Source organism: Homo sapiens, chromosome 3 (assembly GCF_000001405.40).
Source record: "Homo sapiens chromosome 3, GRCh38.p14 Primary Assembly".
Lineage (NCBI taxonomy): Eukaryota > Metazoa > Chordata > Mammalia > Primates > Hominidae > Homo > Homo sapiens.
This window is the reverse complement of record NC_000003.12, coordinates 160,663,475-160,676,333: the sequence shown is the minus strand read 5'-3', so window position 1 is coordinate 160,676,333 and position 12,859 is coordinate 160,663,475. Positions and strand designations below refer to the sequence as shown.

At 38.4% G+C, this 12,859-nt stretch overlaps 2 annotated features.

Moving 5' to 3' along the window:
• Positions 9,971-10,100: an enhancer, noted in NCBI's record as "active region_20761". NCBI's record gives its function as "activates an Ori minimal core promoter by ATAC-STARR-seq in GM12878 lymphoblastoid cells {active_cell/tissue: GM12878}" and the evidence as "EXISTENCE:reporter gene assay evidence [ECO:0000049][PMID:35858748]".
• Positions 10,221-10,270: an enhancer, noted in NCBI's record as "active region_20760". NCBI's record gives its function as "activates an Ori minimal core promoter by ATAC-STARR-seq in GM12878 lymphoblastoid cells {active_cell/tissue: GM12878}" and the evidence as "EXISTENCE:reporter gene assay evidence [ECO:0000049][PMID:35858748]".

The window sequence follows — 12,859 nt, the reverse complement described above, 5'->3', positions numbered from 1 at the left end:
ATTAGCTGGGCGTGGTGGCCCGTGCCTATAATCTCAGCTACTTGGGAGGCTGAGACAGGAGAATCGCTTGAACCAGGGAGTCGGAGGTTGCAGTGAGCCGAGATCGCACCACTGCACTCCAGCCTGGTGACAGTGAGACACTCCGTCTCAAAAAAAAAAAAACAAAAAAAACATATAAATCCATAACAAAACAGCAAGATAATTCATCAAAGGGTCAGAAATTTTAACAAAATTCTGGAAAATGGAAACTAGATGGAAAAATGAGTGATAACTGATATAGCAGGATAAAGCCAAGGCTTGGAGTGCTGATGCAGAGGAGATAGACAAGAGGTGACAGGTATGGCAGACAGAAGGGGTGAAATAAAGGACTAAAAACAGCAGAAGGTAACAAGAAGCCAAAATAAACAGAACACACACACACACACACACACACACACACCCCTCTGCTGGGTGTCTTCAGCAACTAGATGTTTATTCCCAGGCAAAATACTGAAGAGTTTTTTATTAAAGAAATTGAATGATCTCAGAAAAAAGATCTCCATGTTTTGACAGTTGGGAGTTTCTGACCATAATGCCAAAGTCAACATGTAATTAACCTATAGCCAACCTGGCAGTTGGCAAACTTGCTCACATACATAGAATTCCCAATCAGCTTTGCAGTGCACAGAAGTTTCTATACTTAATGGATAGCATGCCTTCAATATGAATAAGAGAGAGACCAAGATAAAAATAAGAACTTTTAAGAAAGCTTAAACAGAGCTAATGAAGGGAACAGAAGAACATTTTCATTAAATTCTAATTACTATTTTTATACAGACTTGAGAAGATATTACATCCATAAGACAAGAAATGGATGGTATTAAACAGACCACTCAGAGAATAAAAACAAAACTCCTAAAAATTAAAAACACAAATTTCAAAAAATTTTAAAGATCAGTAATACCTGTAGGCTGGAAGACAATATTGAAGGAGTCTTTCAGAAAGTCGAAGATAGAAAATACAGAAGAAAAGATAAGACATATAGAGGATGAACTCAGAAATCTTAACTCAGAAGTCTGATTTATAGGACTTATTCCAGAGAGAAAAAAAATATGCACAAGAGGAAATTATCAAGAAATAATATGGGACCACTTCCCAAAGCTAAAGAATGAACTTGCCAGATTGAAAGACTTCCCTCAACGCTTACCAACATGATTTTTAAAAGAGCTATACCATGTGATATACATGTTTTCTTATTAAAACTAAAAATTTATTTAGAGTTTTTACACAAAATAAGTAGACTATTTTAGATGCAGAAAGCACACGTATGAAGAAATTCTGTAACCTTTTATAAAGAATTAAGTTCTTAACCAACTCACTATATCTCAGAGGCTAAAGATACTGTTTTGATTTGTTCATTGATTTATTCATCTAACCATTCAGGAAATAAACATATTGATGGCCTAGTCTGTGCTAGATGCCAGAGAGATCACAAAGATAAACTAGGCTTGCCTTTAGTTGACTTTCACTGGGGAGAAGGTAAAAGATATGTGACCAAATAAAAATACATACAAAGTCAAAAAATTATACATGCTACAAGAAAAGAAAGGCTAATGTATTCTAGGTATTCACAGACTCTTTCAGAATGAAAGGCGTCAGAGAAATCTTCCTGGAGAAGGTTAAGTATTGAACCAGGCCTTGTAGAGACACGTGAGGGCATACATGAAAGAAACAGTCTGTGAGAGCAAAGTCTTAGAAATGGGAAAATATGGGGATGTATGTGGAAAACCAACTGTATATGGATAAGTAGGGGTTTCTTCCATAAACATTTTGAACTATCATGATAAAACCATAAGATAAATCTAGATTATAGGCCATGCTGCAAGACAACAGACTTGGACTCTACAAGGTAGGTCCATGTCATGAAAGACAGAAAGGAAAAAAAGGATCGGGGGAAGAATGTTCTAAATAAAAGATACATGACTACTAAATGCATTGTGTAAACTTTTATTGGATCCTGTGTCAATAATAGTGATTAAGGAAATTACTATAACAATTATGAAAATTCAAATTGGGGAAACTTGATTATGAACTGTATATTAGATGGTATTATTTATCAATGATAAATTTCTTGAAGGCAATAATTCAATTGTTATGTAGGAAGATGATTTTGTTTCAAGGAGATACAGGCTAAAGTACTTAGGGGTGATATCAGCAAGTTAATTTCAACTGGCTCAGCAAACACATGCACACAAAGATATGTATGTATATGGGAGGGAGGAAGTGTGTGTAAATATGGCGATAGTTGGTGGCTCTAGGTCAGAGGTATTGAATGTTCATTTTACTATTTTTTAACTTTCCTCTAGATTTGAAATTTTTCAAAATAACATGTTAAAAAAAGAATATAATTGAAATAAGCTAATAAAATTAGACTGTAGTCCATAGTAATACAGAAAATAATTCAGCTTACTTAGGGGTAAGTCCGTACTTCCAAAGGTGAATTTAGGGACTTTGACTGCACTACTGCTTAAGCTCTTTCTCACCTCCATATTTCAACAATTAAAATTTTTGAAAGAAGTTAAACATTTATTTTATAATAAACTCAATGATTTGAGTGCTTTATGAGGTCTACCGTTGGTATTGGGGACATCCTTTAATATATTTTTGCTGTAATGAGCATGATCATACATATATGCCTTCATTGTCTCCCATCTGACCAATTATACCTTGTTTTCGGGATAGCCAAACAAATGAGGGCTTAAATTCTGCATGAATATTATATCCACATAAGAATATGATTCTCTTCTGTGAAAAGAAATAAGATAATTTCTTTGTCAATGCTAATTGTCATGAAAGAATCTACAAATGTTTCAATATCCTTTCTTACTGTCCCAAAACATTTATGGATTCATGTGTCCCAGCCAAACTTGAGGGAAGGCAAGGTATTTGTTTTCTGTAAATCATTCTAAGATTACGCAAATAAAGGTAGACTTGTGAGAGAGTTACTGGCAGGCTAACTGTGGTGTCACAGGAAATTTGTTTTAAAATATGGGAATGAAAGAAACATTTTCTTTAATTTCTTACCATGGAGGTGTGAGGCAAAAAGTCCTAAGCTCAACCATGTATGGACCAAGCAAAAATACAGACACTTATCTCTTGGAAGAAGGTGCAACTTATTCCATTATCTTTATTTTTCACAGATAAGAAGGAAGAATCAGGATGTGGTTGTATAAATTGCTTAGCTTACAGAGACTTGGAACATCCCCTACTTTCCCTACAATAACTTTTTTGGTCTTTTTAAAAATAAATGTTTGGAAAATTGAAGTATAACACATATATAGAAAAATGCAAAAATCATCAATATACAGCTCAAAGAGTTACCAAAAATTGAAAACACTCATGTAACCTCCACTAAGGCCAGGATTAATTTTTAACTTTCCTTTTTTTATTTTTTGCAAGTAAAAATTCAAGACCTCATGTATTTCTATACCCAGTAATGAGAAATACGCTCTGTTCCTGAACAATAGTCACTCTTTATCCTAGTTGAGATTCTTTGAAGCTGCAAAGAATGATATATCCTAATCTACAAAGATTTTCCCAGAGCCATTTCCATCAAACTGAACCAACACTTTCACCCACATCACCAAAGGTTTTTTTTACTTTCACATTGGTAGATCATTGGATGTGAGTTCAAATCTGGCCTCTGGCACTCACTAAATATTAAATAGTTGTCATAATTATATAAAATAAATGTGAAAAAAACATTATCACAGAGCCTGGCCCCTGGTTGATACAAGTTTTCTCCCTCTCCTCTCACAGTTTTTGTGTCTTAGCTAACATTTTTAAATACCTGTGATTCTTAACCTTTTCCAGATGAGGAACAATTTGATAATTCCCATAAAAGTATTCCATTGGGAGAACAAGTCACCATGTGTGGGACCCCTTCCCCAACACCCCAGCATTTTTATCCAGCCCACCCCCAATAAGATAAAGATGAACAGAGAGACAACACACCAGAGGGGCAGCCTGAGGGCTATATCTGGAACTTGGGAGCAATAGTTGCACCCCTTTGCCTTGGTGAAGATGGGGGATTTATTTAGGGACAGATGACTCAGATATCTTTGGCCCCAGCTACCTGCGAAGCTGTCAGTATCCTGGGTGTCTACCTAGTCAGCAGCAACAGGGCCCAAAAGAACTCAGCTGTGCAACCTGACCACCATTGACCTAATTGGTTCCTTTTTCACTTCCGTGAAATAATGATCCAAATGGTTCTCATAGGTCTTTATTTTTTACAGCTCCTCATCTCTCTTCAAACTCATGATAAATCTTTGATTATTCTTTCAACATTTATTGAGTATACACTAAATGGCAGGCACTGTCTATATTCTGTTTTCAGAATTACTGATGGTTCACCATTTAAGAAGTAACTAAAAGTTGAAACATTTAAAAATATTTTTAAAATGCTCTATACAGTCTTCCAATTTTAGAAAAGAAATATTTTATTATAAAAGCATTTAAAAATGTTTAAATAATCTAAAACATTTAAAACTTAATGTGATTATGAGTCTCACTTTTCTTTCTCTTTGTTCACATACATATGCAATTTTTACACGCTGCATTCATTTATTCAGTACATTTCTATTGAGCGTGTAATATGTCTGTATATAACTCAAGATACTGGCAATTGTCTGTATATAATCAAAACAGTCTTCATTTTCAAGGAACTAACAATCTAATGAAAGAGACCAACACTCACTAACAATATGAATGTTGTTATAGATAAGGTAACAAGACTTAAGAGGAGGCTGCAAGTCAGTGTCAAGCCAGCATGGCTCATTATGGGTCGCTCACATCTTCTATCTGTCCAAACTGGGACAGTTTTGAAAGCGAAAGCGGTACTAATAATGAGTACACCGGCAAACAGATGTAAACAGGCCTAAGAAAATTAGGCTGTACGGTCATCTTAGAACAGGCCACTGAGACTTGCCTGGCTTCACGAGAGGAAGCTTGAGCTAATTTCAGGATGAAAGAGCCCAAGGGCTGCATAGCTACTTTTCAAATATGTCCACTATCACTCACTGACATTCTCCTTTCTAGCCTTTCTAAAGGATAAACTAAGAAACCAAAGTGTTAAAAAGATATAATGGGATAATAACATGTACTTGATACAGTTGTCATGACTTCCTGCTGACTCCAAAGGGAATAGACAGCAAAAGTGAGGGTTGTTAGAGTTAATGTCATTTCACTTCTCTCTCTTCACCATCCTACTCTCCTTCTGTCCCCTTGCTTTTCTCCTTTTGCCCCAACTCCTTTCAATTTATTTCTTTCCCCTTTCCTATTTTCTGTCTGATTAGGTCAGGTCAGTAAAATGCTAGTGCTCAGGAATAATTAGTATTATATTTTAAAGGATTAACCTATTATTACATATTAGAGCCTAGATAAACATGTTTCTCACTTCACAAATTGGGTTTCGTTTTTGTTTGTGTTTTCACTTTTTGATTTTCTATAACCTGAATCAACAGTAAATCTTTTCTTGAGGGCAATCAAGTTCCTTCCCACCAGCCTCTATTATCTCTGTCCCCAGTTCCAAACCACAAGGTTGTAGATGGAACTCGTGTCAACTTTCTCCTGTTTGCATTGATTGACTTTAAAAGTAAAATAATTCTGTACAAATTTGCAGCATGGTCAAGGAGCATCAAAATATAATCAAGAGCCTTCAGAGTTTCAGCGTTTCTTCTAGAAATATGACGGTTGTCAATTTGATCATAATAGAAAAGTTAATCTCCTGCCATTTTTAATGTATTCCAATTAAATTTGTTAGGAGTATATAAGTAAAACTAATCCTATTTTAGTGAAAGCTAGAACTCACATAAACAGCAAAATTATTCCCTTACTCTTTGTTTTCTTATCTTTAAAAAAATTCCTTCCTGTATGATAAGCATGAAAGTAAAAATAATGACCACAAAAATAGATTAATATGATTCAGTTTTCACTTCCATAAAGGACATGAAAAAATACATGACCAAGTTAAATACTTGTGTAAATAATTAACCAGGTACTAATATACCCGGCCGACAGGTTGTTGCTTTGGGTTTGGTTTTGTTTTTGAGACGGGGTCTCTGTCATCCAAGCTGAAATGCCGTGGTGTGATCATGGCTCACTGCAGCCTCCACTTTCTGGATTCAAGCGATCCTCCTACCTCAGCCTCCCAAGTAGCTGGGACTACAGCCGCACCACCACACCTGGGGTTTTTTGTTTGTTTGTTTTCTTGGTAGAGACAGAGTTTTGTCATGTTGCCCAGGATGGCCTCAAACTCCTAAATTCAAGCAATTCTTCCACCTCTGCCTCCCAAAGTGCTGGGATTACAAGTGTTTTTAATAAGGAATTTCAAAGGGAAATTTTGAATAAGCAGAGATAAATGGAATGGTAGGGTGAGAGAGAAAAAGAAATGTTATGACATTTAAAGTGACAGTGACACACTAAGTCAGGCCACCCAAGAGACGGAGAAGCCCTTCCAGACTCCCAGGCCCTGTCCCATTGCTGCAAGATCTCAGGGTTGGCTTTCCAGATACACCAACGAAGGGTCAGATGAGATAAAATTATTTTCATCAAATATTCTGCTCTTGCACTTTTATTCTCCATTGGTTATCCCTCTTACCTCCAATAGTGCAACCTGGGCACACAATTATTTCAAATGCATAGCTAAAATTAACTCTAGCATGAGACATTTCAGGGTATGAATTAAATATTCCAAAAGTAAATCAGAGTCTCAAATTTAGCTTGGTATAGGTTTGAAGCATTAAACTTTCTAGGTTGAACTGGTCAAGCAAGACTCTGGAAGTCCTGGCTTCTGATCACATTTGTACTATTTTCTCTCTGTATGAACCTGGGCAAGTTATTTAACATCTCAACTTCTTGGCAGGATGCTGTGGCTCACGCCTGTAATCCTAGCACTTTGGGACGCCGAGGTGGGTGGATCACGAGGTCAGGAGTTTGAGACCAGCCTGGCCAACACAGTGAAACTCCATCTTTACTAAAAATACAAAAAATTAGCTGGGCATAGTGGCATGTGCCTGTATCCCAGCTACTCGGGAGGCAGAGGCAGGAGAATCACGTGAACTCAGGAGGCGGACGTTGCTGCGAGCCGATATCGTACATTGCACTCCAGCCCAGGCAACAGTGTGAGACTCGGTAATCCCAGCACTTTGGGAGGCCGAGGCGGGTGGATCACAAGGTCAGGAGATCGAGACCATCCTGGCTAGCACGGTGAAACCCCGTCTCTACTAAAAATACAAAAAAATTAGCCAGGCGTGGTGGTGGGCGCCTGTAGTCCCAGCTACTTGGGAGGCTGAGGCAGGAGAATGGCGTGAAACCCGGGAGGCAGAGCTTGCAGTGAGCAGAGATCACGCCACTGCACTCCAGCCAGGGCGACAGAGTGAGACTCTGTCTCAAAAAAACAAAACAAAACAAAAAAAAACCCTCAACTTCTTAATCTGTAAATTGGGAAATAATATTATCTGTCTCTCAGGGTTATTATAAGGAATAAATGAGATATAACACAGCCAAGTATACAGCATATGTTAGGCACTTGGTAAATGGCAGCTATTGTGATTTTATTATTGGTCAGAGGAATGGCAGTAGGTTTATATTTGCAGGTCAAATCAGATTTATTATTAGTAACTGTTTTGAAAGTCTACAGGGAGTCTACAGTTGTTTCTTGGCTCCATAGAAAAGACTGCTATGCTCAATTGACAATGTCTGCTATGAGTGTAGGAAGGAACATAGTAACCCTATTTGCCATTTTCAATTGCTAGTATCAGACACAGCATGGTTTCCAAGCCTATAATCCCTCCTCCCCATAGTTGAGGTCACCTGATCCTCTTTCAGAAGCTACATGTAGTCTCAATCCTCACCTAAGACAACAAATGCTTAAGCAGCTCCAATCCTCCTTTCTAAGATCCAGCCCAGAGTCATCCTAACCATGAATCCAATCACAACATGGTAGCCTAATTTTAACAACTAGACTGTTGCCTTTTTTACTAAGTCCCAGTCCCTATTGTTAAACCTAGTTCTAGTAACTAGGCTTCTTCCACTCCAGCACCTTCCTAAAATAGGTACCCTGAATTCACATTAGCCATAGGCTTTCCAAAATTAGCATCTCTAATCCTCAAAATCTAACCTTCAGGATAAATCCCTGTTAACTATTGAAAACTTCTTAGTTGTTGACTATGGGCTTCTCAATATTGCTCACTCTGGTTTCCCCATCAATTTTTTGTACACCAACCTTTAACTGAATACTTGCTAAGTCAAAAATATACATATAACTTTGCATGAAAATATCACAGAAATCTCAGTATGAAGTATAAATACCTAGAAGCAAGAAAGGACTAAAGTTAACAGGACCATATCATGCAACTTTCTCTTGAATCCAGTATTGAAAAATTCTACCTTTTAATTCCATGGGTTGACAGAAATCAAATTTATCCACTCAGAAAATACCTTTATGCCATCAGCTAGGCAAATATTTATTAATTGCAATGAGCCAAGCCCTGTGCCAGGTACCAGGAGGGTAGTAGGCACTGGGAGGGTAGTAGGCTACTAAGAAAGTCCAGTGGAAGAATCTGACTCAGTCTCAGGTCAAGAGAGCCTTTCTAGGGAGGTTTTATTGGTGCTGATTCTGGGCCTGGTGAGTCATGTTGATTGGGGGCAAGGGCTGACACACCTTATCCTCCAGAAAGATTTGGACCATTTGGTGAGTCACCCTGATTGGGGGCAAAGGGTGACACATTATCCTCCAGGAAGACTGGAACTTTTTCAAAGAGTCCAGATTATGGGAGCCCTTCACTTAGACTGAAGCTTTCTTTTCCTGCAGAATATTCCTCCTTGATGTGCTTCTTCCCTAGGAGTTTGGGCAGAAAGGACCCTGAAGAGTCTTGATACCTACTCTGTTTCAACTACAGAGTTCCCATCTCTGTTTGGAGGAGTTCCTTCATTCCTTAGATCATGTGCAGGAGCTACCTGGCCAACATCAGCCAATTTGATGACCTATCTAAGCTTCTCCCCAGCTTAAAGTATTAGCTCCTTGCATTTCCCCAGATGTTTACTGATAATTTTAACCCCACCTACTTGCAAGTAGTCTCCAGAATCCTATCATTACAGGTTCATAATAGCCTGATATCTGACATAGCCTACTGAAAGAATACATAATTTCCCCTAAGAAAAGAGGAGGGACTTAGCCTTTTAGCTGTAATCCAGAACAACAAATCAGTACATTTATAGCACAAAGATTTCACTAAATATTAATTTAAATAACATCCAGGGAGTTAAAAAATACAAGACAGTCATCCAAGAGTCCCAAGTCAGAGGGAAAGGCAAGAAAATGTACAGATGAGAAACCCAGAGAATAGGATGACAAACAGAATTTACATTGTGGCCAGTTGCAAGATCAACATACAAAGATAAGTAGCATTCCTCTTAGAGAACAATAACTGAGAAAGACCCCATTCTCAGTAGCAATAAAACTATAAAATATCTAGGAATAAACTCAATAATATATGCACAGTTTCTGTATGGAGAAAATAATAAAATTTTACTGCTGGCCTTAAAAAAATAATCAAATAAAGGAAGACATATAGCATTATAAAATGCCAATTCACTCCTAATTTAATCTGTAAGTTAAATTCAGGGCCAATCAAAAGCAGGTGGTAACAAATTTTATATAACATTTAATTATGAGTCAGTTGCTAAGCATTGGAGATATAATGGTGAATAGCACAGAGTCCCTGCTCTCCAGATTCTAATGCAAGGGAGGAGAGAGAAGATAAGTATATAAACAAATAAACAAGATAATTTCAGATGATCATGTGTTATGGAGAATAGATAATTGATGGAGACTGACAAAAGCACTGCAGTGGGGGAGGGGATGGGACTCTATTTTAACTAGAGTGAATCAGAGAAAGCCTCCCAGAAGAGGTGACATGTAAGGTCAAACCTCAATTACGCAAATTGGTCAATCATGCAAATATCTGGGAAGCCCCAGCCTTCCAAGCAACAGGAAGAGCAAGAGCCCTGAATCAACCATGATCATAGCCAGCTAAAGAGACAGAATAAAGGGACTATGGTTGAAACCTAGTTGAAAGAGAGAGCATTGGGGAAGATAAATTAGCAGGGCTAAATGTGATAAAGTAAATTAGCAGGGCTAAATGTGTAGAGATTCTAGGCCATGGGGAAGCATTTGATTCTAGATTTAATTGTGAAGCCCTTGGGCAGTTGTAAGCAGGGAAGTGACATCATCTGAGGACCATTTAGGCTGCTGTGCGGCAAATGGGCTGGTGGGAGAGAGGGTAGGAAATGTGGAGGCAGGGGGACTGGTTAGAAGACTCTCTCAGTAGTAATGTTGGGATGACAGCAGCTTGAACTAGAGTAGCAGAGAAGGAGGAAGTCAGAATTGATCAGATTCAAGATATAATTTGGAGGCAGCAGCCGTAGGACTTGCTAACGGATTAGATGAAGGTGAGAGATAGAGCTTAAGATAACTCACAGGGTTTTTTGACTAAAGAACTGGGAGGATGGTGGTGCCATTTGCTGAGAGGAGGGAGAAGAGGACTTCAAGGAGAAAAGCCATAAAGTTAGTTCTCTAATAAAACTTGACAAGCTGTTTGAAATTTGACACAAAAACAAAATGGAAAAAAAAACCTAAAAACGATCATGAAAAATAAGCAATAAGAAAATACAGCAGAGTAGGAAGTGCAGAAACAAGCGTATACACACACATACATACACAATTATACAAACATTTTCCGGTAATGGTAATATGTCCTTTTTTATTTTTATCTTTTTAAGAAAACCCTATCTCTCTAGCTCTCCCTTGTAGGTAGAGACAGCCATGTCTTAAGGATGGCTGAGCAACAAGTCAAGAGAAGGCTGGGTTTTAATGACATCATAGCACCATCCCCAGACTGTGTCCCCTCAGATTCTTCATGTAAGAACAAATAAAACCCCTAATTTGTTTAACCCGCTGGGGTTTTTTAGTCTTTATTGCTTAAAAACAAACACAATTCTCAACAAATAGGGAACTTTTAAGTCAATACTGTTGGGAAAACTTACTATGCATTTGGAACCAGACACTAAAAAATTCTGGAGAGATTAGGTCAGATGCGGTGGCTCACGCATGTAATCCCAGCACTTTGGGAGGCTGAGGTGGGTGGATCACGAGGTCAGGAGATCGAGACCATCCTGGCTAACACGGTGAAACCCCGTCTCTACTAAAAATACAAAAAATTAGCCGGGCGTGGTGGTGGGCGCCTGAGGCTGAGGCAGGAGAATGGTGTGAACCGGCGGGAGGCGGAGCTTGCAGTGAGCCGAGATCGCGCCACTGCACTCCAGCCTGGGTGACAGAGTGAGACTCCGTCTCAAAAAAAAAAAAAAAAAAAAAAACCTCTGGAGAGATTAAAGGTCTAAACCTAAAAAAACAAAAAGAAAAACAAAAACCAGACCATCAACAGGGTGAGGTAGTCATCAGTACTACTTACCAAATAGATCTGGCTTGCTCCTTTCCTAGGCGCACAGTGGCACGGCATTTCCTACTTCCTTGCGGTTAGATGGTGCCCTGCAACTGGTTCGGGCCAATGAGTTGTGAGTGGAAGTAGTAGATGTACTTGTAACACAGAGCATTTAACTGCCCATGTAAGATGTTTCAGAGCTCTTTTCCCTTTACACCATAGTGACCAGCAATGTTTGCTGTAGTGGCTACTCCATCAGCCTGGTCCCAGAGTAAGGAAGTATGATACAGAGCTTTCAGTCAACTCAGTGGACAGGTAGCACGAGCATAAAAGTAAATAGTTCTTGTTATAAGCTAACAAGATTCTAAGTTTGCTTGTTACTATTGCACAGCCCAAAGTAAGGTAAAATAAAGAATGTCCCCAAATCATGTAATACTGTACAGCACATAAAAATTATGAGCTGGATATCCATGTACTCATGTGTAAAGCTTGCTAAGAGGTATTATTAAGGAGAAAAGCAAATTCTAAAATAAGACTGTTGGTCTAATACTATTTATGTTAACTCCCACCTCACAAAAAAACTATATACTTCTACAGATATATGTATGTTTTGTTTTGTTTTTGAGATGGAGTTTCATTCTTGTTGCCCAGGCTGGAGTGCAGTGGTGAAATCTCGGCTCACTGCAACCTCCACCTCCCGGGTTCAAGCGATTCTCCAGTCTCAGCCTCCCAAGGACTAGGATTACAGGCGTCCACCACCATGCTGGGCCAATTTTTGTATTTTTAGTAGAGATGGGGTTTCACCTTGTTGGCCAGGCTGCTCTCGAACTCCTGACCTCAGGTGATCCACCCACCTCGACCTCCCAAAGTGCTGGGATTACAGGCGTGAGCCACCATGCCTGGCCAGATATATGTATGTTAGTGCATAGAGCAAATTTAGAAAGGTACACATAAAACTGGTAAGAGTGGTTAACACTAGGGGAGGCTTGGTTAAAAGGAAATGTTTTTACTTATCTGTATTCTTTGAATTTTTTAACTTAGGAAAAGCAAAATATTACACATATGAAAGAAATTATATAAAGTATATGTACATTTTAAAGAAGAGAAATAAATCTTTAAATGATCACAAATGTGCATCTACCGCCCAGATGAAAAAATAGAACATCACTGGTACCACTGACAACCTCTGCATGGCCTTAAATGATGGCATTCGTTTCTTTTTCCCTGAGAGATAACTACTGACCTGAAGCTAGTGTTACCTATTTGCTGCTCTTGGTTTTAGTGTTTTTATATAGAAAAGATACACACCCACACACACACACATACACACACATCCTTATACAATATATTACTTGACTGTTTTTTTAATTTATGTAAGT